Here is a 23,556-nt window from a genome sequence, read left to right as displayed (position 1 = left end):
GGGATCACTGGGGGCCATCTTAGAGTAGTAATTTATATTTAGTATGGAACATATAATAAGAAACACGTATAGCATAGAACATATAGAAATATAATTCATACTTATTATATATTACGATATGTTAAATATTTTACAGCATTGTCTTTAATAATAATAATAAACAAAATGAGGAAAAACAGATTTCGGAAATAGTCTTTCTTCTTGTGAACTTTAAAAGCCATTAAAAAAAAATGATGAAGGACCAGGCGTGGTGGCTTACACCTGTAATCTCAGCATCTTAGGAGGCTGAGACAGGATAATTGCTTTAACCCAGGAGACGAAGGTTGCAGTGAGCTGAGATCGCGCCATTGAACTCCAGTCTGGGCAACAAGAGCAAAACTCCATCTCAAAACAAACAAACAAACAAAACAAAAAACAAAACTACCATAGCCGGTATGTCAGTAATGAGTAAGGGTGCATTCTAATAAAACTTTATCTAAAAAAATAGGTAGTGGGCCGAATTTGGCCCATGGGCTGCAATTTGCCAATTCTTGTCTAGACTATAAGCCTCCTAAGTACAGAAACAAACGAGCCTCCTATATGCCAGACTCTGGTAGGTGCTAGTGATGGACAAGAAAGATTGGTCCTCACCTTTGATATCTTCAGTACCCTACTAGAGGGCTGGTTTGGTTTTGCGTACATGGTAAAATCTTGGACAATGGTTTTTGGATGGCCTCAAATGACTCAGACTCCTAAAAAGTTTCATCTTGTATGACTTCTGACCTTAACTGTTGCTGTTTTCTCCCATCATTGCCCTCAATCTTTCATCCCTAGTCCAATGACTTTGTGAATCTGTTACCATGTGGTAGGTGTGACCTGTGTAAAGGTGGTAAAGAACTTTGGTGTAAGACAACTCTCTGAGCCCTTGAAGACTTTATTGAAAGTTGATTTGCTCTTTCCCCAGATCTTTCAGTGTCAACTGTGTAGTAGGCACTGAGTATTCACAGACCAATCTGTTCTTGTAGAGTTTATGGTCTGGTGGGAAAGGCAGATAAATGAAAGCAAATGCATGTTTACAAATCATGATAAGTGTTAGGAAGGAAACAGAAATGTAGGTGCTCAAGGGGGCCAGTGGTAGCAGGAAGAGGAGGGCAGAATCCTGCTCAATACCATGAGTGGAAGAGGACACTGAAGTTGAGACCTAACGAATAAGAAATTGGCCAGGCATGGTGGCTCATGCCTGTAATCCTAGCACTTTGGGAGGCCAAGGTGAGCGGATCACCTGAGGTCAGAAGTTCGAGACCAGCCTGACCAACAAGGAGAAACCCTGTCTCTACTGAAAATACAAAAAAATTAGCTGAGTGTCATGGCGGGCACCTGTAATCCCAGCTACTTGAGAGGCTGAGGCAGGAGAATCGCTTGAAGCAGGGAGGTGGAGGTTGCAGTGAGCTGAGATCATGCCACTGCACTCTAGCCTGGGCAACAGAGCGAAACTGAGTCTAAAAAATAATAAAAATAAAATACACAAGTCCTATTGGATTAGGGCCCCATCTGATGACCTTATTTAACCTTAACTACCTCCTTAAAGGACCTCTCTCCATGTAGTCACATTGAGGGGTGTTATGGCTTCAACATATGACTTCGGGGGCCATAATTCAATCCATAACACCCAGGAAGGGTGTAAGCAGGAGAATGGCATGCCTTTGGTGGTCATGTGGAAGTTAATTGTGGAAAGTCTAGTTAGAGGGATCTCGCAGCATTTCCAGGGAGAGATGATGGTGGCCATGGAGATAGAGAGGAGGTGATGAATTGGAGGAGTATTTGAGGCAAAAACGACTGGCTTTACTGTTTTATGGCTTTATTTTATTTTATTTTATTTTATTTATTTATTTATTGGAGGCAGAGTTTCGCTCTTGTTGCCCAGGCTGGAGTGCAATGGCGCGATCTCAGCTCACTGCAGCCTCCTGGGTTCAAGCAATTCTCCTGCCTCAGCCTCCCGAATAGCTGGGATTACAGGCATGTGCCACCATGCCCAGCTAATTTTTTTGTATTATTAATAGGGACGGAGTTTCACCATGTTGGCAGGCTGGTCTTGAACTCTTGACCTCAGTTGATCCACCCGCCTCGGTCTTCCAAAGTGCTGGGATTACAGGCGTGAGCCACCGCATCCGGTCTGTTTCCTAGCTTTAATAGTTGACTTATCTGTATTCTTCGAAACTCTGGCAGTCAGTCAGTAGCTCTGTTCCCTGTGCCTAGTGTAGTACTCTGCACCTTGCAGGTGTTTACTGGATGCTGAGTAAATGCACACCTGTCTGCAGTGTCCTGGAGTGGTGGTCAGAGACATTATGAAGTTTCCAAATCCATACCATACACAGCACCTGACCTTAGGGATCATTATTTAGATCTGGGAAAATCTTCCTTATGTCATTTAGGGCTTCAAACAAGTGATTTCTCCCTGTTTTTTTTTCTTTGGTACACTAAAATGACAGAGCCAAATTCCTCCCGTGTGTGTCTGTGTTTCACACACATGCACACTGCAGAGAAGTCGAGTTGAGGACATTTCTTCACTCTCAGCGGAGAGCTCCCTGCTCCTGCTTTCTCACTGAGACTGTGCAGATTGTGTGGGTGGCGAGTTGGTTGTGCAAGGCCTTGCTTGCTTTGAGTCACGGACATGTGGGTTGTCAAATCCATTCCTCCGTGCTTGCTTCCTCTCTCAACCTCAAAGGGCTGGAGACAGTCTTAATATCCAGATGCCTGGCAGTTTGGAAGCAATGATGAAAAGGATAACTTACAAAATGTTTGTATAAATGCACTTAATGCCACAGAACCCTACACTTGAAAAGGGCTAAAAGGAAGCTGAGGTGGGAGGATTGCTTGGGGCCCGGAGTTTGAGACCAGCCTGAGGAACATAGGGAGAGCCTATCTCTTTAAAAAAAAGAAAGAAAGAAAAGAAAGAAAAAAAAAGCCAGGCATGGTGGCTCATGCTTCTAGTCCTAGTTACTAGGGAGGCTGGGGAGCAGGGTAGGAGGATTGCTGGAGCCCTCAGATTTGAGAGTGTAGTGAGCTAGGATCATGCCACTGCACTGCAGCCTCGGTGGCAGAGTGAAACCATGTCTCAGGAAACAAACAGTGGTTTGTGTCATCTGAGATGCAAAAAAAAAATAACAATAATAAGAGAAAGAAAACCAACCAACAAACAAAAAGTTAAAATTCTCCAATGGTACAGCTTTAAGAAATTAAAAAAAAAATAAAAGTAGGGAGAAACAAAGCCTGGCGTGGTGGCTCATGCTTGTAATCCCAGCACTTTGGGAGGCTGAGGCAGGTAGATTACTTGAGCCCAGAAGTTTGAGACCAGCCTAGGCAATATGGCAAAACCCTGTCTCTTCTAAAAACACAAAAATTAGTCAGATGTAGTGGCTTATACCTATAGTCTCAACTACTCAGGAGGCTGAGGTGGGAGAATTGCTTGAGCCCAGGAGGCTGCAATGAGAAAAACAAAACAAAATGGCTAAAATGGTAAATTTTATGTACATATATTTTACAACAATAAAAAATGTTTCCATATAGTACCTTCACAGTCACCTTGATACATATATATATAACAAGGCTGTAGTAACCAAAACATAATATGGGCTAAAAACAGACACATAAACCAATGGAACAGAATAGGGAACCCAGAAATAAATCCCCACATGCTAAAGAATGAAACTGGGCCCCTGTCTCTCACCATACACAAAAGTCAACTCAAGATGGATTAAAGACTTAAATGGGACCACACCTATAATCCTAGCACTTTGGGAGCCCAAGCCTGGAGGATCACTTGACCCAGGAATTCAAGACCAGTTTGGACAATGCAGTGAGATCCCATCGCTACAAAAAAAAAAAAAAAAAAATAGGCATGGTGGCATGCACTGGTAGTCCCAGTTACTTGGGATGCTGAGGTAGGAAGATTCCTTGAGCCCAAGAGTTCAATGCTGCAATGAGCTATGATTGTCCTACTACACTCTAGCCTGAGTGACAGAGTGAAACCCTTCTCTCAAAAAAAAAAAAAAAAAAAAAAAACTAGTAAAACTTTATACTAGAAGAAAACATAGGGAAAATGTTTTAGGACATTGGTCTAGGCAAAGATTTTATGGCTAAGACCTCAAAAGCACAGGCAACAACAACAACAAAAATAGACAAATAGGACTATATTAAACTAAAAAGCTTCTACTCAGCAAGGGAAGCAATCAACAGTGTTTCCTGCTGAATAGGAGAAAATATTTGCAAACCATTCATCTAACTAAGGACTAGTATCCAGAAATATACAAGGAACTCAAACAACTCAAAAACAAATAATCCCTGCAGCCATAAAAAAGAATGAGATCGTGGTCTTTCCATGGACATGGATGAAGCTGGAAGCCATCTTTCTCAGCAAACTAACACAGGAACAGAAAACTAAACACCACATGTTCTCACTCATAAGCAGGAGCTGAACAATGAGAACACATGAACACAGGGAGGGGAACATCACACACTGGGGCCTGTTGGGGGTGGGGGTGGGGGGGGCAAGGAATGGGAGAGTATTAGGACAAATACCTAATGCATGCAGGGCTTAAAACCTAGATGACAGGTTGATGGGTGCAGCAAACCACCATGGCACATGTATACCTATGTAACAAACCTGCATGTTCTGCACATGTATCCTAGAACTTAAAGTAAAATAAAATAAAGTAAAATAAAGACTTAGTAGGGAAATTTAGATTTAACATGGTGATGCCAATTTAGTGGAAAAGATGACTTTTAAAAAATTTGGCTCCATTTAATAAAAAATAATTTTAAAATAGTATAAACCATGAAAGTATACGTACTGCCAGGAAAGTATAAATATAACCAGGGAATTATAAGTATAACCAATGAAAGTATAAGTACTGCCAGTGTTACCAGGGGTCCTTGCTCCCAGAGCTCCCAAGATGGTGGTGGGCCACTTCCAAAATGGCGGCAGGCCACTTCCAAGATGGTGGCAAGCCTCGTGTTCTCTGACCTGGGGTTCTTGGCCTCACGGATTCCAAGGAATGGAATCTTGGGCCGTGCGGTGAGTGTTATAGCTCTATTAGAAGTCGTGGGTCACGGAAGAGAACCGTGGAACCCAGTGACTAGTGTTCAGCTTGATTAGGACGAAACCAGGCACTTAGCCATGCAGGAACAATGGCAAGCCTTTAGCGCGATCAGGAGTGGCAACGGGTGCTTCCCTGGATCAGGAGCACAGCGGGCGCCCTGCTGGATTGGAGGGATGGAAGTCAGCGGCGGGTCTGCGACGGCAGCAAAACAGCAGTGGTGGACGGCGAGCGAAAGCTCAGTTCTAGCGGTAACCAGAAGGGTGCAGCTGCAAGATTTAATAGAGTGAAATAGAGTGAAAACAGAGCTCCCATACAAGGAGGGGACCCAAAGGGGGTTGCCCTTGCTGGCTCCAATGCCTGGGTTTATATCCCGATCCTTGTCCCTCATCAGGCAATAGATGAGTTCATCAGGCAATAGATGATTGGCTATTTCTTTACCTCCTGTTTTTGCCTAATTAGCATTTAGTGAGCTCTCTGATTGGTCAGGTGTGAGCTCAGTTGCAAGCCTCCTGTTTAAAGGTGGATGCAGTCACCTTCCCAGCTAGACTTAGGGATTCATAGTCGGCCTAGGAAATCCAGCTAGCCCTGTCTCTCACCAGGAATGCTTGTGCTTGCTACTGAAAAGCTAAGGCCAGAGGTAAAGACTATGGATTTGGGGAATGAATATTCTGTGAAGCCATAAGATAATGGCCTGAGGTGCTGAGGACCAGTAGTGCTAGGAACTTTGCATCCATGACTATAGGGCTCTTTAGAACTGTGCCACAGTACAGCATCATGCAGTAGAATCTAAGTTGTTCTTTGTAATAATGAATGCCAGCAATATTTTAAAATAATAATAATACCATTAAAAAGTGGGCAAAGGACATGAATAGACATTTTTCAAAAGGAAACATACAAATCGCCAAGAAGTATATGAAAAATTAACAGTTAATGTTCATTGAATACTTATTGCAGGCTAGGTACTGAGTTGAGCATTTTGCATGCATCATCTCACTTAAAATAATGTATGTCCCAGCCTGGCCAACATGGTGAAACCCCATCTCTACTAAAAATACAAAAATTAGCCAGACATGGTGGTACATGCCTGTAATCCCAGCTACTCAGGAGGCTGAGGCAGGAGAATTGCTTGAATCTGGGAGGCAGAGGTTGCAGTGAGCCGAGATTGCACCACTGCACTCTAGCCTGGGTGACAGAGCGATACTCTGTCTCAAAAGATAATAATAATAAAATAATGTATGTCAATTGTTGAAATTTTGGAAAATGAACAAGTGTGTGTGTGAATAACTGGGTGTATTCTATACATATGGCTTTATAACTTACCTATTAACTTAAGGTCATTAATGCAATGTCATCAAATACTCTTTGGATCATCTAGATTGTTGCACATTATCCTATAATATGAGATGCCACAATTTATTTACACAGTCGACAATTGTAACCCAGCTTGCTTTTGGCTTTTACTGTTTTACATAATACTTGGTAAAAATCCTCATATAAATATTTGAAAATTTCCTAAGTGTCCATTTGTGAATGTAAAAATTATTTTAGAGATCTAAGATTTGGTGCAAAACTTGCAATCAGCTACATAGTTCTACTTGAGGCAATTTTCACTCAAAATATATCATAAACCATAGTACAAAAATAGAGCATAGACCTCTCCTTGTGAAGCAGTTGTTTTTGCCTTACATTTTTTTTTTTTTTTTTTTTTTTTGAGATGGAGTCTCGCTCTGTCGCCCGGGCTGGAGTGCAGTGGCGCAATCTCAGCTCACTGCAAGCTCCGCCTCCCGGGTTCACGCCATTCTCCTGCCTCAGCCTCCCGAGCAGCTGGGACTACAGGTGCCCGCTACCACGTCTGGCTAATTTTTTATATTTTTAGTAGAAACGGGGTTTCACTGTGTTAGCCAGGATGGTCTCGATCTCCTGACCTCGTGATCCGCCCACCTCGGCCTCCCAAAGTGCTGGGATTACAGGTGTGAGCCACCGTGCGTGGCTGCCTTAAATTTTTAATAATCATTGTGCAAATTATTTAGCACTCCAGTGTTTTGATTTTTCTCCTCTGCTGGGTAGGAATAACAATAATACTGTTATTCACCATGGTGGTGTGGGAAGTTTCAAAGAGCACATGTCTATAAAGTGCTTAGTGCAAGGCTTGGCATGCAGTTAACACAAAATAAATGCGAGCTGCTGTCATTAACAATACTGACTACACGGCACTGTGATGCTTATGTAAATGCCAGGCTGTGTGTCTGTAACCTGAGGTATTTGTGTAAATATTTTCCTAAAATAAATCTAACTAAGGTTGTTCTTCTCACTTGTATGGGGTCATCTTATGCGGTAGATGCTCAAACACAAATTCCAGATACAGAGTGGGCAGTGGTAGTTAGGAAGATAGAAAGGCTAGGGAGTGTTCCTGGGAAGTCAGTAAACTTGGAAGATCTAAGGTTATATTAAAAATGTTGTATCAGAACAAAGGCTCAGGACGTTAGTGTTAGCAGAAACCAGATATCTTAGAGCAGTGGTTTGTCAACTTTGCCAGCAATCCACAGTAAGAAATTCAACTCCGGCCGGGCGCGGGCCTGTAATCCCAGCACTTTGGGAAGCCGAGGCGGGTGGATGACTTGAGGTCAGGAGTTCGAGACCATCCTGGCTAACACAGTGAAACCCCGTCTCTACTAAAAATACAAAAATTAGCCGGGCGTGGTGGTGTGTGCCTGTAATCCCAGCTACTTGGGAGGTTGAGGCAGGAGAATCACTTGAACACAGGAGGCGGAGGTGACAGTGAGCCGAGATCGTGCCATTGCACTCCAGCCTGGGTGACAGAGGGAGACTCTATCTCAAAAAAAGAAAAAAAAGAAATTCAACTCCACTAACACCCACAATGCAAATAAATGTGTGAATGTGTACAACTATTTTATCAAGCAGTACTTATTATATGTGCTGTAATCTGATATTTTATAGCCTGTTTCATTTTATTTTAATGTTGATTGTTACCCACTAAATTTATTTCATTGAGACCCCCTAATTTGAAATATTGCCTTGAATATATATATACATATATATACACATATATACATATATATACACACATATATACACATATATACACACATATATACACATATATATACATATATACACATATATACATATATACACATATATACATATATACATATATATACACATATATACATATATACACATATATACATATATACACATATATACATATATACACATATATACATATATACATATATATACATATATACACATATATACATATACACATATATATACATATATACATATATATATACACATACATATATATATATACCCTTGTTTAAAAATAAAAGGTTTGCAGCTCCATATTTTTTAAAAAAATCTTACCCAAGCATTTAATCAGTACTGAATGGTTTTGTTCTTGTCTTCATGTCAAGTTGAATTTGGGGGTACTATTCCAGAATATTTACATGTTAGACAATGTTCTGTAAAAGGGGCATTGTAGCAGCATGCAGGCAGTATTCAACCAAAAACTGGGCAAGAGTCATAATTCACTCTGGTTTCTCTTTCCTTTTAAGCAGGTAGTTCCAATTTGCCAGCAGAATGAGTACAGAAAGAGACTCAGAAACGACATTTGACGAGGATTCTCAGCCTAATGACGAAGTGGTTCCCTACAGTGATGATGAAACAGAAGATGAACTTGATGACCAGGGGTCTGCTGTTGAACCAGAACAAAACCGAGTCAACAGGGAAGCAGAGGAGAACCGGGAGCCATTCAGAAAAGGTAACCACATGAAGTCCCGGTGACTAGGTCGCTTATAAATCCTCATGTGGGTCATGGCCACACGTGCCAAAGATGATCGGTCTATTTTGCGTGGTCTAGGAGAGAATCTTCTCTGATCTCTTCTTAGGATGCGACTGACAGAATGGTGGATGGGCTTGGACAAGTACCCATTGTCCTTAGTAAGAAGGGCTGGGAGAGCATATCTGACAAGTTCTGCAGAGAAAATACATTAAGGTCTTTGTTAGTGTGTGTATATATATATATATATATATATATATATATATATATATATATATATATATATATATATATATATATTTTGAGGCAGGGTCTCACTGTGTCTCCCCAGCTGGAGTCCAGTGGTGTGAACTCGGCTCACTGCAGCCTTGACCTCCTGGACTCAAGTGATCCTCCTACCTCAGCCTCCTGAGTAGCTGGACTACAGGCATGCACCAGTATGTCCAACTAATTTTTGTATTTGTGTGTGTGTTTGTGTGTGTAGATGGTATTTCACTATGTTGCCCAGGCTCGTCTCAAACTCCTGAGCTCAAGGGATCTGCCCACCTCAACCTCTCAAACTCCTGGAATTACAGGCATGAGCTACGATGCGTAGCCAGTGTATATATTCTTAAAATGGAGTTATGCGGGCAAGAATCTGCATGTTACTGCACCCAGAAATTTTTAAAGGATACATATCAATCAGTCTTAGATGTTAACTATTAGTATTGTTAAATTGGCGGTATGAGTTATATAAATAACCATCCTTGTGTATGTGTGTGTGTGTGTGTGTGTATATATATATATATATATATATATATATATATGTATATGGTCTGCCCAGGGTCAGGCCAGCATCAGAGGCAGGGTCTAGACCAAGGCCAGCAAACTTTTTCTGTAAAGGGCCAGCAAGTAAACATTTTAGGCTTTGTGGACCACGTGGTCTCTGCCAATGTTGAGTGTAAGTGACCGCAGACAGTACATCACTGAAGGCAGTAGAACATGGCTTGCTTTTACCATGATGCCTTTTCTTTTGTGGCTTTTCTATTTCATCTCCTGCTGGTTCTCCCACCCTGGCAAACAGATGTGGGCTTCTCTTGTAGCTCTTCTCCATGAGCAAGCTGAGACTTTTCTCTCTGGACCCCAGATTTGATATCAGGCTGAAAATATTTCCTCCATGGTGTTCCCTAAAATTCTAGCCGAACAACCTTAGCATCACATTCACAGAAATCATTATCATAGTGTTCTGGTTTCAGCGCTCCAGACACGCCTCCCTGCAGCCTTAGTCAGAGAAGCCTCGGATTTTAGCTGGTTTTCCCGAGGTCTCTGTTACTGCCATTCTGCCCTTGAAGGCTTTCTAGAAGCCTCTTTTTCCCCCATGCCAAACCCCCCCTCTAGTTTCTCTTTCTTGGGTTCTGCTATCTGGATGAGCTATTTTTTTCTAATAATTTTAACCTGTAGAAGATGTGATATGCATGAAATCCCATTTCTGCAATGATTCTTCCTGTTCTGGTCACAGAATCTGCCTGTGGGGAGATTCTCAGTGTGGGGAGTGCATGCACCCCGCGAGCCCCATCTCACCCAAATGTGGGGAGGCCATTGACTCCTGTATGTTGTGTGTCCGCTACCTTTCCATAGCAAACATTTAGATGGATTACCTCTTAGAGTGGGTTTCTGGTTTTGATTTCAAGCTGTTGAGGATTGAGCTTAAGTGCCTTCTGCCTTGAATCAGAAGGTACTAAACTCATGATACTTGACCAAAATTAAAGTGAAATTCCCTGCCGGGCACAGTGGCTCACGCCTGCAATCCCAGCACTTTGGGAGACTGAGGTGAGTGGATCACCTGAGGTCAGGAGTTCAAGACCAGCCAGACCAACATGGTGAAACCCCGTCTCTACTAAAAATACAAAAATTAGCCAGGCGTGGTGGCAAGTGCCTGTAGTCCCAGCTATTTGGGAGGCTGAGGCAGGAGAATCACTAGAACCCGGCAGGCAGAGGTGGCAGTGAGCTGAGATGGTGCCATTGCACTCCAGCCTGGGCAACAAGAGTGAAACTCCAACTCAAAAAAAAAAAAAAAAAAGAAAGAAAGAAAATGGAATTCCCACCAATCTGAACAGGAAGGTGGCCTCTGTCATAACAGGTCCAGACTGGATATTGGTGAACTAGCTAAAGCTGAAGCAGCCAGACAAGTTACAAGGAAGTTCTAGTTGATTGCCCAAACAGTGAATAAAACATGCTTCTTCCTCATTCCTTTCCCCGCTAATTGCACTGCTTAGTCTCCTATCACAATTTTGGAATCTCTACCAAATGTAGATATCTGATGGGGTGGCAGGAGAATTGGCTCCATGGGGTCCAGGGTCAACTTTGCTCTTGGTGCTTGGTGGCACGCCATCAGACGTGTAGTCCGAGACACAGCAAAGGGACCGGGATTGGGTGCCTGCAGAAATGTCAGAGACGCATGTAGTGGGTGGAAACTCTCATCCCCTGTTTTTTTACAACTCTGCCTGCCCATTCTGGTGGTTAGGATCCTTTCCTGATCATTCAGTTTGCAGGTCATATGTTTTGTAGATTTCTACCCTCGGTATATGGGCATTAAAAGAGCTCAGTCTTGGCCGGGTGCGGCGACTCATGCCTGTAATCCCAGCACTTTGGGAGGCCAAGGAAGTTGAATCGCCTGAGGTCAGGAGTTCGAGACCAGCCTGGCCAACATAGTGAAACCCCATCTCTATTAAAAATACAAAAATTAGCCCGGCATGGTGGTGCACACCTATAATCCCAGCTACTCGGGAGGCTGAGGCAGGAGAATCGCTTGAACCTGGGAAATGGAGGTTGCAGTGAACCAAGATCCCACCACTACACGCCATCCTGGGTGACAAAGTGAGACTCCATCTCAAAAAAAAAAAAAAAATGCTCAGTCTTGAATCTTAGTCATGTTTTCCAAGGGTGATTTATATTCCTAGGGGATTTGGGTGGTTCTCGCTTCTCAAAACCCATATCAAATGACTTTGCCTGTGACTTTTTACAAAAATTCTTATTCTAATACCTCTCTGCGCCCTTCCCAAGCACACAGATGATGTTCAGTAAATGCCAGACCTCTTTCCTCCCATTTCCCATGTGCCCTGCCTCCCTCACAGCCAGTCTGCTCTCCTTCTTTCCTCCCTTCCTCTCTTTGCCCTCTTCATCCCTCTTTCCTTTCCCACTATATTCTCATTTGTGCAATTTCCCAGTTAAGGTCAGTGTCACCCTGACTTCTCTTTCTTTTTTTAATCATCATCTGTCTTTCTTGACATTTCACATCCTGAATAATTTCCTTCAGAGAATCAGTTCTTTAAGACATCAGAACATGAGTCACCCTGCGAGGTACCACCAGACTAACACCAGGGACCAGCACCCATTCTAGCAAAACACTGCCTAAGCAGCCTGAACTGCGCTAGTTTCTTTAATGAGGGTTGTAGCACAGAAAGTTGCTTTCTTTTTTTTTTAAAGAAAGGAAATCCTCTAGCCCAACTAAGCTTTCCTGTTAAACAAGTGCTTTGAGAGACCCATTCAGAGTACTTTTCACTAGAAGGACCTTTATTGTGTTTTGTGAGAAGGAAGGACAGGCACAAACATGCTGTTAGAATGTGCCATGGAGAAAGATAAGCCCACAGGTTCGAGTGGAGTAACTTTACCCTTTGTGTAAAGATTCAGCAAAGATTCTCAGAAATGAGCGGGAATGTTTTCAGTGCTATGGGATGAGCTCTGTCGTTTCCTGATGAACACACTTCTCAGCATGTGTTCTGGGAAACACTAGTTTTTGTATTTTTGGAGTTTTCTTGTTGTTTGTTTGTTTGTTTTTGTTTTGAGATGGAGTCTCTCTCTGTCGCCCAGACTGGAGAGCAGAGGCGCGATATCGGCTCACTGCAACCCCGCTCCTGGGTTCAAGCGATTCTCCTGCCTCAGCCTCCCAAGTAGCTGGGATTACAGGCGTATGCTACCACGCCTGGCTAATTTTTGTATTTTTAGTAGAGACAGAGTTTCACCATGTTGGCCAGGATGGTCTCGATCTCCTGAACTTGTGATCCACCAGCCTCAGCCTCCCAAAGTGCTGGGATTATAGGCGTGAGCTACCACACCCGGCCTTAAAGTGATATCTTCATAAAATAATCTGGAATTAAGAATGTGGGGTCTTTAGCGCATCTATGAATTAATATTTAGTTGGAACCAAAACACAGATAAAGATGGCTCATTGAAACGTATCAATCGTAGGATATCCTAGGGAATCTGTGAAAAGTGCTGAGGGAGCTGTTCCACTTAATAAGATGAATTTTCCATTTTCGGCACATACCACATATGGGAGTCTACTCTGGCTACTTATTTTCTTTCTTTCTCTGATCGGTTGTAAATTACCATCCACCTCCACAGCCTAAAAACACCAGAGTAATTGATGCTTGTAAAGCCGCAGGGTGAGGGGTATTCCTGCACTGAGTGATTACTGATGGGGAAGGGTGGTGATACTGTGCCATCTCATTTTATTTTATTCTTTTTATTTATTTGTTTATTTATTTATTTGACAGAATCTCGCTCTTGTTGCCCAGGCTGGAGTGAAGTGGCGTGATCTCAGCTCACTGCAACCTCCGCCTCCCGGGTTCAAGTGATTCTCCTGCCTCAGCCTCCCGAGTAGCTGGGATTACCGGCGCCCGCCATCACGCCCAGCTAATTTTTGTATTTTTAGTAAGGACGGAATTTTGCCATGTTGGCCAGGCTTGTCTTGAACTCCTGACCTAAGGTGATTCGCCCACCCTGGCCTCCCAAAGTGCTGGGATTACAGGCATGAACCACTGTGCCCGGCCTATTCTATTTATTTTTAAGATCTTGGGCAACATGCTCATTTTAGAGAATTTGCTTTCAAGTCATGTAATTTATGATTGAACCTTGGGTAAGAATCTCTTGCTCATGGAAACCTAACTCAGCTGGTGGTTTTCTTCCTGCTACTTTGCAGCCCAAGTTCAGAAGTAGATTTTTAATGATAGAAGTCACCATAGGAAGACACTCTCCTTTGCACTAACTGGGGGTTCTCAGTCCTGCCTGTACATCAGAACCTCTTGTGGAATTTTTACAAACTCTCTAGGTGCCTGGACCCAGCCCCTGAAGATACAGAGTGGTTCTGGGATGAGGCAAGGGGAAGAATCTATCATTTAAAATGAATTCAGTGGCCTGAATATTTTCTCCCATTCTGTTGTCTCTTTACTTTGTTGATTGTTTCCTTTGCTTTACAGAAGCTTTTTAACTTGTGATCTCATTTGTCCGTTTTTGCTTTGGTTGCCTGTGCTTGTGAAGTATTACTCAAGAAATCTTTGCCCAGTTTAGTGTCCTGGAGAGTTTCCCAAGTGGTTTTTTTGTTGTTGTTGTTTGTTTTTGTTTGAGGCAGAGTCTTGCTCTGTCACCAGGCTGAAGTGCAGTGGCACAATCTTGGCTCACTGCAACCTCAACTTCTTGAGTTCAAGCAATTCCCTTGCCTCAGCCTCCCGAGTAGCTGGGACTACAGGTATGTACCACCATGCTCGGCTAACTTTTTGTATTTTAGTAGAGACAGGGTTTCACCATGTTGGCCAGGATGGTCTCCATCTCTTGACCTTGTGATCCACCCACCTTGGCTTCCCAAAGTGCTGGAATTACAGGCGTGAGCCACCATGCTCAGACTTCCCCAGGGTTTTCTTGGAGTAGTTTCATAGTTTGAGGTCTTAGATTTAAGTCTGTAATCCATTTTGATTCAATTTTTGCATATGACAAGAGATGGGGTCTACTTTCATTCATCTACATATAAATATGCAGTTTTTCCTTGCATCATTTATTGAAGAGACTGCCTTTCCCCAATGTATGTTCTTGGCACCTTTGTTGAAAACAAGTTTACTAAGGATGTATGAATTTATCTCTGAGTTCTCTTTTCTGTTCCATTGATCTGTGTGTCTGTTTTTATGCCAATACCACGTTGTTTTGGTTATTATAGCTCTGTCATATAATTTGAAGTCAGGTAGTGTGATTCCTACAGTTCTGTTCTTTTGGCTTAGATTAGCTGTGGCTTTTCTGGGTCTTCTGTGGTTCCCATACAAATTTTAGGATTTTTTTTCTATTTCTGTGAAGACAGTCATTGGTATTTTCATAGAGATTGCATTGAATCTGTAGATTGCTTTGGGCAGTGTGGACATTTTAACAATATTCCAATCCATGAGCATGGAATATCATTCCATTTTTCTGGTGTCCTCTTTAGTTTCTTGCATCATTGCAATCAATTTATAGTTTTGATTGCAGAGATCTTTTACTTCTTTGGTAAACTTAATTCTTAGCTATTTTATTCATAGCTATTATAAATGGGATTATTTTTTTTCTTTTTTTTTTATTATACTTTAAGTTTTAGGGTACATGTGCACATTGTGCAGGTTAGTTACATATGTATACATGTGCCATGCTGGTGCGCTGCACCCACTAACTCATCATCTAGCATTAGGTATATCTCCCAATGCTATCCCTCCCCCCTCCCCCCACCCCACCACAGTCCCCAGAGTGTGATATTCCCCTTCCTGTGTCCATGTGATCTCATTGTTCAATTCCCACCTATGAGTGAGAATATGCGGTGTTTGGTTTTTTGTTCTTGCGATAGTTTACTGAGAATGATGATTTCCAATTTCATCCATGTCCCTACAAAGGACATGAACTCATCCTTTTTTATGGCTGCATAGTATTCCATGGTGTATATGTGCCACATTTTCTTAATCCAGTCTATCATTGTTGGACATTTGGGTTGGTTCCAAGTCTTTGCTATTGTGAATAATGCCGCAATAAACATACGTGTGCATGTGTCTTTATAGCAGCATGATTTATAGTCATTTGGGTGTATACCCAGTAATGGGATGGCTGGGTCAAATGGTATTTCTAGTTCTAGATCCCTGAGGAATCGCCACACTGACTTCCACAATGGTTGAACTAGTTTACAGTCCCACCAACAGTGTAAAAGTGTTCCTATTTCTCCACATCCTCTCCAGCACCTGTTGTTTCCTGGCTTTTTAATGATTGCCATTCTAACTGGTGTGAGATGGTATCTCACAGTGGTTTTGATTTGCATTTCTCTGATGGCCAGTGATGATGAGCATTTTTTCATGTGTTTTTTGGCTGCATAAATGTCTTCTTTTGATTAGTGTCTGTTCATGTCCTTCGCCCACTTTTTGATGGGGTTGTTTGTTTTTTTCTTGTAAATTTGTTTGAGTTCATTGTAGATTCTGGATATTAGCCCTTTGTCAGATGAGTAGGTTGCGAAAATTTTCTCCCATTTTGTAGGTTGCCTGTTCACTCTGATGGTAGTTTCTTTTGCTGTGCAGAAGCTCTTTAGTTTAATTAGATCCCATTTGTCAATTTTGTCTTTTGTTGCCATTGCTTTTGGTGTTTTGGACATGAAGTCCTTGCCCATGCCTATGTCCTGAATGGTAATGCCTAGGTTTTCTTCTAGGGTTTTTATGGTTTTAGGTCTAACGTTTAAATCTTTAATCCATCTTGAATTGATTTTTGTATAAGGTGTAGGGAAGGGATCCAGTTTCAGTTTCCTACATATGGCTAGCCAGTTTTCCCAGCACCATTTATTAAATAGGGAATCCTTTCCCCATTGCTTGTTTTTCTCAGGTTTGTCAAAGGTCAGATAGTTCTAGGTATGCGGCATTATTTCTGAGGGCTCTGTTCTGTTCCATTGATCTATATTTCTGTTTTGGTACCAGTACCATGCTGTTTTGGTTACTGTAGCCTTGTAGTATAGTTTGAAGTCAGGTAGTGTGATGCCTCCAGCTTTGTTCTTTTGGCTTAGGATTGACTTGGCAATCCGGGCTCTTTTTTGGTTCCATATGAACTTTAAAGTAGTTTTTTCCAATTCTGTGAAGAAAGTCATTGGTAGCTTGATGGGGATGGCATTGAATCTGTAAATTACCTTGGGCAGTATGGCCATTTTCACGATATTGATTCTTCCTACCCATGAGCATGGAATGTTCTTCCATTTGTTTGTATCCTCTTTTATTTCCTTGAGCAGTGGTTTGTAGTTCTCCTTGAAGAGGTCCTTCACATCCCTTGTAAGTTGGATTCCTAGGTATTTTATTCTCTTTGAAGCAATTGTGAATGGGAGTTCACTCATGATTTGGCTCTCTGTTTGTCTGTTGTTGGTGTATAAGAATGCTTGTGATTTTTGTACATTGATTTTGTATCCTGAGACTTTGCTGAAGTTGCTTATCAGCTTAAGGAGATTTTGGGCTGAGACAATGGGGTTTTCTAGATATACAATCATGTCATCTGCAAACAGAGACAATTTGACTTCCTCTTTTCCTAACTGAATACCCTTTATTTCCTTCTCCTGCCTAATTGCCCGGGCCAGAACTTCCAACACTATGTTGAATAGGAGTGGTGAGAGAGGGCATCCCTGACTTGTGCCAGTTTTCAAAGGGAATGCTTCCAGTTTTTCCCCATTCAGTATGATATTGGCTGTGGGTTTGTCATAGATAGCTCTTATTATTTTGAAATACGTCCCATCAATACCTAATTTACTGAGAGTTTTTAGCATGAAGGGTTGTTGAATTTTGTCAAAGGCTTTTTCTGCATCTATTGAGATAATCATGTGGTTTTTGTCTTTGGCTCTGTTTATATGCTGGATTACATTTATCGATTTGCGTATATTGAACCAGCCTTGCATCCCAGGGATGAAGCCCACTTGATCATGGTGGATAAGCTTTTTGATGTGTTGCTGGATTCGGTTTGCCAGTATTTTATTGAGGATTTTTGCATCAATGTTCATCAAGGATATTGGTCTAAAATTCTCTTTTTTGGTTGTGTCTCTGCCCGGCTTTGGTATCAGAATGATGCTGGCCTCATAAAATGAGTTAGGGAGGATTCCCTCTTTTTCTATTGATTGGAATAGTTTCAGAAGGAATGGTACCAGTTCCTCCTTGTACCTCTGGTAGAATTCGGCTGTGAATCCATCTGGTCCTGGACTCTTTTTGGTTGGTAAACTATTGATTATTGCCACAATTTCAGATCCTGTTATTGGTCTATTCAGAGATTCAACTTCTTCCTGGTTTAGTCTTGGGAGAGTGTATGTGTCCAGGAATTTATCCATTTCTTCTAGATTTTCTAGTTTATTTGCGTAGAGGTGTTTGTAGTATTCTCTGATGGTAGTTTGTATTTCTGTGGGATCGGTGGTGATATCCCCTTTATCATTTTTTATTGTGTCTATTTGATTCTTCTCTCTTTTTTTCTTTATTAATCTTGCTAGCGGTCTATCAATTTTGTTGATCCTTTCAAAAAACCAGCTCCTGGATTCACTGATTTTTTGAAGGGTTTTTTGTGTCTCTATTTCCTTCAGTTCTGCTCTGATTTTAGTTATTTCTTGCCTTCTGCTAACTTTTGAATGTGTTTGCTCTTGCTTTTCTACTTCTTTTAATTGTGATGTTAGGGTGTCAATTTTGGATCTTTCCTGCTTTCTCTTGTGGGCATTTAGTGCTATAAATTTCCCTCTACACACTGCTTTGAATGCGTCCCAGAGATTCTGGTATGTTGTGTCTTTGTTCTCGTTGGTTTCAAAGAACATCTTTATTTCTGCCTTCATTTCGTTATGTACCCAGTAGTCATTCAGGAGCAGGTTGTTCAGTTTCCACGTAGTTGAGCGGCTTTGAGTGAGATTCTTAATCCTGAGTTCTAGTTTGATTGCACTGTGGTCTGAGAGATAGTTTGTTATAATTTCTGTTCTTTTACATTTGCTGAGGAGAGCTTTACTTCCAACTATGTGGTCAATTTTGGAATAGGTGTGGTGTGGTGCTGAAAAAAATGTATATTCTGTTGATTTGGGGTGGAGAGTTCTGTAGATGTCTATTAGGTCCGCTTGGTGCAGAGCTGAGTTCAATTCCTGGGTATCCTTGTTGACTTTCTGTCTCGTTGATCTGTCTAATGTTGACAGTGGGGTGTTAAAGTCTCCCATTATTAATGTGTGGGAGTCTAAGTCTCTTTGTAGGTCACTCAGGATTTGCTTTATGAATCTGGGTGCTCCTGTATTGGGTGCATATATATTTAGGAGAGTTAGCTCTTCTTGTCGAATTGATCCCTTTACCATTATGTAATGGCCTTCTTTGTCTCTTTTGATCTTTGTTGGTTTAAAGTCTGTTTTATCAGAGACTAGGATTGCAACCCCTGCCTTTTTTTGTTTTCCATTTGCTTGGTAGATCTTCCTCCATCCTTTTATTTTGAGCCTGTGTGTGTCTCTGCACGTGAGATGGGTTTCCTGAATACAGCACACTGATGGGTCTTGACTCTTTATCCAATTTGCCAGTCTGTGTCTTTTAATTGGAGAATTTAGTCCATTTACATTTAAAGTGAATATTGTTATGTGTGAATTTGATCCTGTCATTATGATGTTAGCTGGTGATTTTGCTCGTTAGTTGATGCAGTTTCTTCCTAGTCTCAATGGTCTTTACATTTTGGCATGATTTTGCAGCGGCTGGTACCGGTTGTTCCTTTCCATGTTTAGTGCTTCCTTCAGGAGCTCTTTTAGGGCAGGCCTGGTGGTGACAAAATCTCTCAGCATTTGCTTGTCTGTAAAGTATTTGATTTCTCCTTCACTTATGAAGCTTAGTTTGGCTGGATATGAAATTCTGGGTTGAAAATTCTTTTCTTTAAGAATGTTGAATACTGGCCCCCACTCTCTTCTGGCTTGTAGGGTTTCTGCCGAGAGATCCGCTGTTAGTCTGATGGGCTTCCCTTTGAGGGTAACCCAACCTTTCTCTCTGGGTGCCCTTAACATTTTTTCTTTCATTTCAACTTTGGTGAATCTGACAATTATGTGTCTTGGAGTTGCTCTTCTCGAGGAGTATCTTTGTGGCGTTCTCTGTATTTCCTGAATCTGAACGTTGGCCTGCCTTGCTAGATTGGGGAAGTTCTCCTGGATAATATCCTGCAGAGTGTTTTCCAACTTGGTTCCATTCTCCCCATCACTTTCAGGTACACCAATCAGACGTAGATTTGGTCTTTTCACATAGTCCCATATTTCTTGGAGGCTTTGCTCATTTCTTTTTATTCTTTTTTCTCTAAAGTTCCCTTCTCGCTTCATTTCATTCATTTCATCTTCCATTGCTGATACCCTTTCTTCCAGTTGATCGCATCGGCTCCTGAGGCTTCTGCATTCTTCACGTAGTTCTCGAGCCTTGGTTTTCAGCTCCATCAGCTCCTTTAAGCACTTCTCTGTATTGGTTATTCTAGTTATACATTCTTCTAAATTTTTTTCAAAGTTTTCAACTTCTTTGCCTTTGGTTTGAATGTCCTCCCGTAGCTCAGAGTAATTTGATCGTCTGAAGCCTTCTTCTCTCAGCTCGTCAAAGTCATTCTCCATCCAGCTTTGTTCTGTTGCTGGTGAGGAACTGCGTTCCTTTGGAGGAGGAGAGACGCTCTGCGTTTTAGAGTTTCCAGTTTTTCTGTTCTGTTTTTTCCCCATCTTTGTGGTTTTATCTACTTTTGGTCTTTGATGATGGTGATGTACAGATGGGTTTTCTGTGTGGATGTCCTTTCTGTTTGTTAGTTTTCCTTCTAACAGACAGGACCCTCAGCTGCAGGTCTGTTGGAATACCCTGCCGTGTGAGGTGTCAGTGTGCCCCTGCTGGGGGGTGCCTCCCAGTTAGGCTGCTCGGGGGTCAGGGGTCAGGGACCCACTTGAAGAGGCAGTCTGTTGGTTCTCAGATCTCCAGCTGCGTGCTGGGAGAACCACTGCTCTCTTCAAAGCTGTCAGACAGGGACATTTAAGTCTGCAGAGGTTACTGCTGTCTGTACCCTGCCCCCAGAGGTGGAGCCTACAGTGGCAGGCAGGCCTCTGAGCTGTGGTGGGCTCCACCCAGTTCGAGCTTCCCGGCTGCTTTGTTTACCTAAGCAAGCCTGGGCAATGGCGGGCACCTCTCCCCCAGCCTCGCTGCCGCCTTGCAGTTTGATCTCAGACTGCTGTGCTAGCAATCAGTGAGATTCCGTGGGCGTAGGACCCTCCGAGCCAGGTGTGGGATATAGTCTCTAGGTGCGCCGTTTTTCAAGCCGGTCTGAAAAGCGCAATATTCGGGTGGGAGTGACCCGATTTTCCAGGTGCGTCCGTCACCCCTTTCTTTGACTCGGAAAGGGAACTCCCTGACCCCTTGCGCTTCCCAGGTGAGGCAATGCCTCGCCTTGCTTCGGCTCGCGCACAGTGCGCGCACCCACTGGCCTGCGCCCACTGTCTGGCACTCCCTAGTGAGATGAACCCGGTACCTCAGATGGAAATGGAGAAATCACCGGTCTTCTGTGTCTCTCACGCTGGGAGCTGTAGACCGGAGCTGTTCCTATTCGGCCATCTTGGCTCCTCCCAATGGGATTATTTTCTTGATTTCTTTTTCAGATTGTTTGCTGTTGGCATACAGAAAGGCTACTGATTTCTGTATGTTGATTTTGTATCTTGCAACCTTACAGAATTTGTTTACCAGTTCTGATAGTTTTTTGGTGGAGTCTTTAGGTTTTTCCAAATATGAGATCATATCATCCGCAAACAAGGATAATTTGACTTATTCCTTTCCAATTTGGATGCCGTTTATTTCTTTCTCTTGTCCGATTGCTCTAGCTAGGACTTCTGGTGAAAGTAGGCATCCTTGACATGTTCCAGATCTAAGAGGAAAGGCTTTTAGTTTTTCCCCATTCAGTTTGATACTAGCTATGGGTCTGTCATATATGGCTTTTATTATACTGAGGTATGTTGTTCTGTACCCAGTTTTTTGAGGATTTTTTTTATCATGAAGTGATGTTGAATTGTATCAAATTCTTTTTCAGCATCAATTGAAATGATCATATGGTTTTTGCCCTTCATTCTGTTGACATGACATATCACATTAATTGATTTGTGTATGTTGAACAATCTTTGCATTTCTGGGATAAATCCCACTTGATCATGATGAATGATCTTTTTAATGTGTTGTTGAATTCAATTTTCTAGTATTTTGTTGAGGATTTTTGCATCAACATTCATCAATGATATTGGCCTATAGGTCTTTTTGTTTTTGTTTTTGTTTTTTGATGTGTCTTTGTCTGGTTTTGGCATCAGGGTAATACTGGCCTTGTAGAATGAGTTTGGAAGTATTTCCTCCTGTTTATTTTAGAATAGATTGAGTAGGATTGGTATTAGTTCTTCTTTAAATGCTTGGTAGTATTCAGTAGTGAAGCCATTGGGTCCTGGGATTTTCTTTGCTGAGAGACTTTTTATTATGGCTTTGATCTCATTACTTGTTATTCATCTGTTTGGGTTTTGGATTTCTTTATGATTCAATCTTGGTAGGTTTTATGTATCTAGGAATTTATCCATTTTTTTCTACATTTTCCAATTTATTGGCAAATAGTTGCTCATAGTAGCCACTAATGATCTTTGAATTTCTGTGGTAACAGTTGTAATGTCTTCTTTTTCAGCTCTGATTTTATTTATTTGGGTCTCTCTTTTTTTGCTTTTTTTTTTTTTTTTTTTTTTTAGTTAGTCCAGCTAAAGGTTTGTCAATTTTGTTTATCTTTTCAAGAAACTAACTTCTTGGCCAGGCACAGTGGCTCACACCTGTAATCCCAGCACTTTGGGAGGCTGAGGTAGGTGGATCACTTGAGGGCAGGAGTTTGAGACCAGCCTGGCCAACACAGTGGAACCCTGTCTCTACTAAAACTACAAAAATTAGCCAGGTGTGGTGGCACATGCCTATAGTCCTGGCTACTCCTAGCTACTCAGGAGACTGAGGCACAAGAATTGCTTGAACCTGGGAGGCGGAGGTTGCAGTGAGCCAAGATCGCACCACTGCACTCCAGCCTGGGCAACAGAGTGAGACTCTGTCTCCAAAAAAAAACCAAACCAAACCAAACCAAAACAAAAAACCGTTTTTGTTTCATTGATCTTTTGTATTGTTTTCTTTGTTTCAATGTCATTTATCTCTGCTTTGATCTTTATTATTTCTTTTCTTCTAGTAACTTTGGGTTTGGTTTGCTCTTGCTTTTCTAGTTCTTTTTTTTTTTTTTTTTTTTTTTTTTTTTTTTTTTTTTTTTGAGACAGAGTCTTGCTCTGTTACCCAGGTTGGAGTGCAGTGGTGTGATCTCGGCTTACTGCAAGCTCCGCCTCCCGGGTTCATGCCATTCTCCTGCCTCAGCCTCCCCAGCAGCTGGGACTACAGGTGCCCGCCACTGTGCCCACCTAAGTTTTTTGTATTTTTTTAGTAGCAATGGGGTTTCAGTGTGTTAGCCAGGATGGTCTCGATCTCCTGACCTCATGATCTGCCCACCTCGGCCTCCCAAAGTGTTGGGATTACAGGCGTGAGCCACTGCACCTGGCTCTAGTTCTTTTAGATGCATCATCAGGTTGTTTGAAGTTTTTCTTATTTTTTGATGTAGGCACGTATAGCTATAAACTTCCCTCCTAGTACTGCTTTCACTGTGTCCCACAGGTTTTGGTTTATCATGTTTCCATTATCATTTGTTTGAAGAAATTTTTCAGTTTCCTGTTTAATTTCTTCATTGACCCACTGGTCATTTAGGAACATATTGTTTAATTTCCATGTTTTTGTATAGTTTCCAAAATTCCTCTTATTATTGATTTCTAGTTTTACTCATTGTGGTCAGTCAGATGTTTGATATTATTTCAATTTATTTGAATGTTTT

General features: G+C 41.8%; 1 protein-coding gene and 1 long non-coding RNA gene across 13 annotated transcripts in view, besides 4 other annotated features; one reads left to right on the top strand and one right to left on the bottom strand.

Annotated features, from left to right (window-relative positions):
- Window positions 1-23,556, top strand: part of ATP8B1 (ATPase phospholipid transporting 8B1) — a 156,890-nt gene that overhangs the window by 62,821 nt on the left and 70,513 nt on the right. For 6 of the 12 annotated variants that reach the window (XM_047437547.1, NM_005603.6, XM_047437543.1 and 3 more), the window contains exon 2: window positions 8,666-8,868. In XM_047437547.1, coding sequence (XP_047293503.1) covers window positions 8,688-8,868 — 181 coding nt within the window. In that variant the 5' untranslated portion in view covers window positions 8,666-8,687. Of the gene's footprint in view, window positions 1-8,662; window positions 8,869-23,556 lie in introns of all 12 variants that reach the window. The other 6 variants (NM_001374386.1, XM_011526023.4, NM_001374385.1 and 3 more) reach the window with 1 other exon arrangement.
- LOC105372141 (uncharacterized) lies at window positions 1,821-8,663 on the bottom strand. Its single transcript, XR_935524.3, has 4 exons — window positions 8,472-8,663; window positions 6,399-6,469; window positions 4,903-5,344; window positions 1,821-2,733 (listed from the first exon to the last, which is right to left on the bottom strand). It is a non-coding gene; the product is annotated as an uncharacterized LOC105372141 (long non-coding RNA).
- Window positions 2,171-2,670: an enhancer, noted in NCBI's record as "H3K27ac hESC enhancer chr18:55405057-55405556 (GRCh37/hg19 assembly coordinates)". NCBI's record gives its function as "activates a minimal SCP1, AML or CMV promoter by ChIP-STARR-seq in naive H9 embryonic stem cells {active_cell/tissue: H9 hESC(naive)}" and the evidence as "EXISTENCE:reporter gene assay evidence [ECO:0000049][PMID:30033119]".
- Window positions 2,671-3,172: an enhancer, noted in NCBI's record as "H3K27ac hESC enhancer chr18:55404555-55405056 (GRCh37/hg19 assembly coordinates)". NCBI's record gives its function as "activates a minimal SCP1, AML or CMV promoter by ChIP-STARR-seq in naive H9 embryonic stem cells {active_cell/tissue: H9 hESC(naive)}" and the evidence as "EXISTENCE:reporter gene assay evidence [ECO:0000049][PMID:30033119]".
- Window positions 20,398-20,966: an enhancer, noted in NCBI's record as "H3K27ac-H3K4me1 hESC enhancer chr18:55386761-55387329 (GRCh37/hg19 assembly coordinates)". NCBI's record gives its function as "activates a minimal SCP1, AML or CMV promoter by ChIP-STARR-seq in naive H9 embryonic stem cells {active_cell/tissue: H9 hESC(naive)}" and the evidence as "EXISTENCE:reporter gene assay evidence [ECO:0000049][PMID:30033119]".
- Window positions 20,967-21,535: an enhancer, noted in NCBI's record as "H3K27ac-H3K4me1 hESC enhancer chr18:55386192-55386760 (GRCh37/hg19 assembly coordinates)". NCBI's record gives its function as "activates a minimal SCP1, AML or CMV promoter by ChIP-STARR-seq in primed H9 embryonic stem cells {active_cell/tissue: H9 hESC(primed)}" and the evidence as "EXISTENCE:reporter gene assay evidence [ECO:0000049][PMID:30033119]".

The sequence above is a fragment of the Homo sapiens genome, chromosome 18 (assembly GCF_000001405.40).
Source record: "Homo sapiens chromosome 18, GRCh38.p14 Primary Assembly".
NCBI classification, from domain to species: Eukaryota; Metazoa; Chordata; class Mammalia; order Primates; family Hominidae; genus Homo; species Homo sapiens.
The sequence above is the reverse complement of the archived record's forward strand: the minus strand, read 5'-3'. Positions and strand labels throughout refer to the sequence as shown.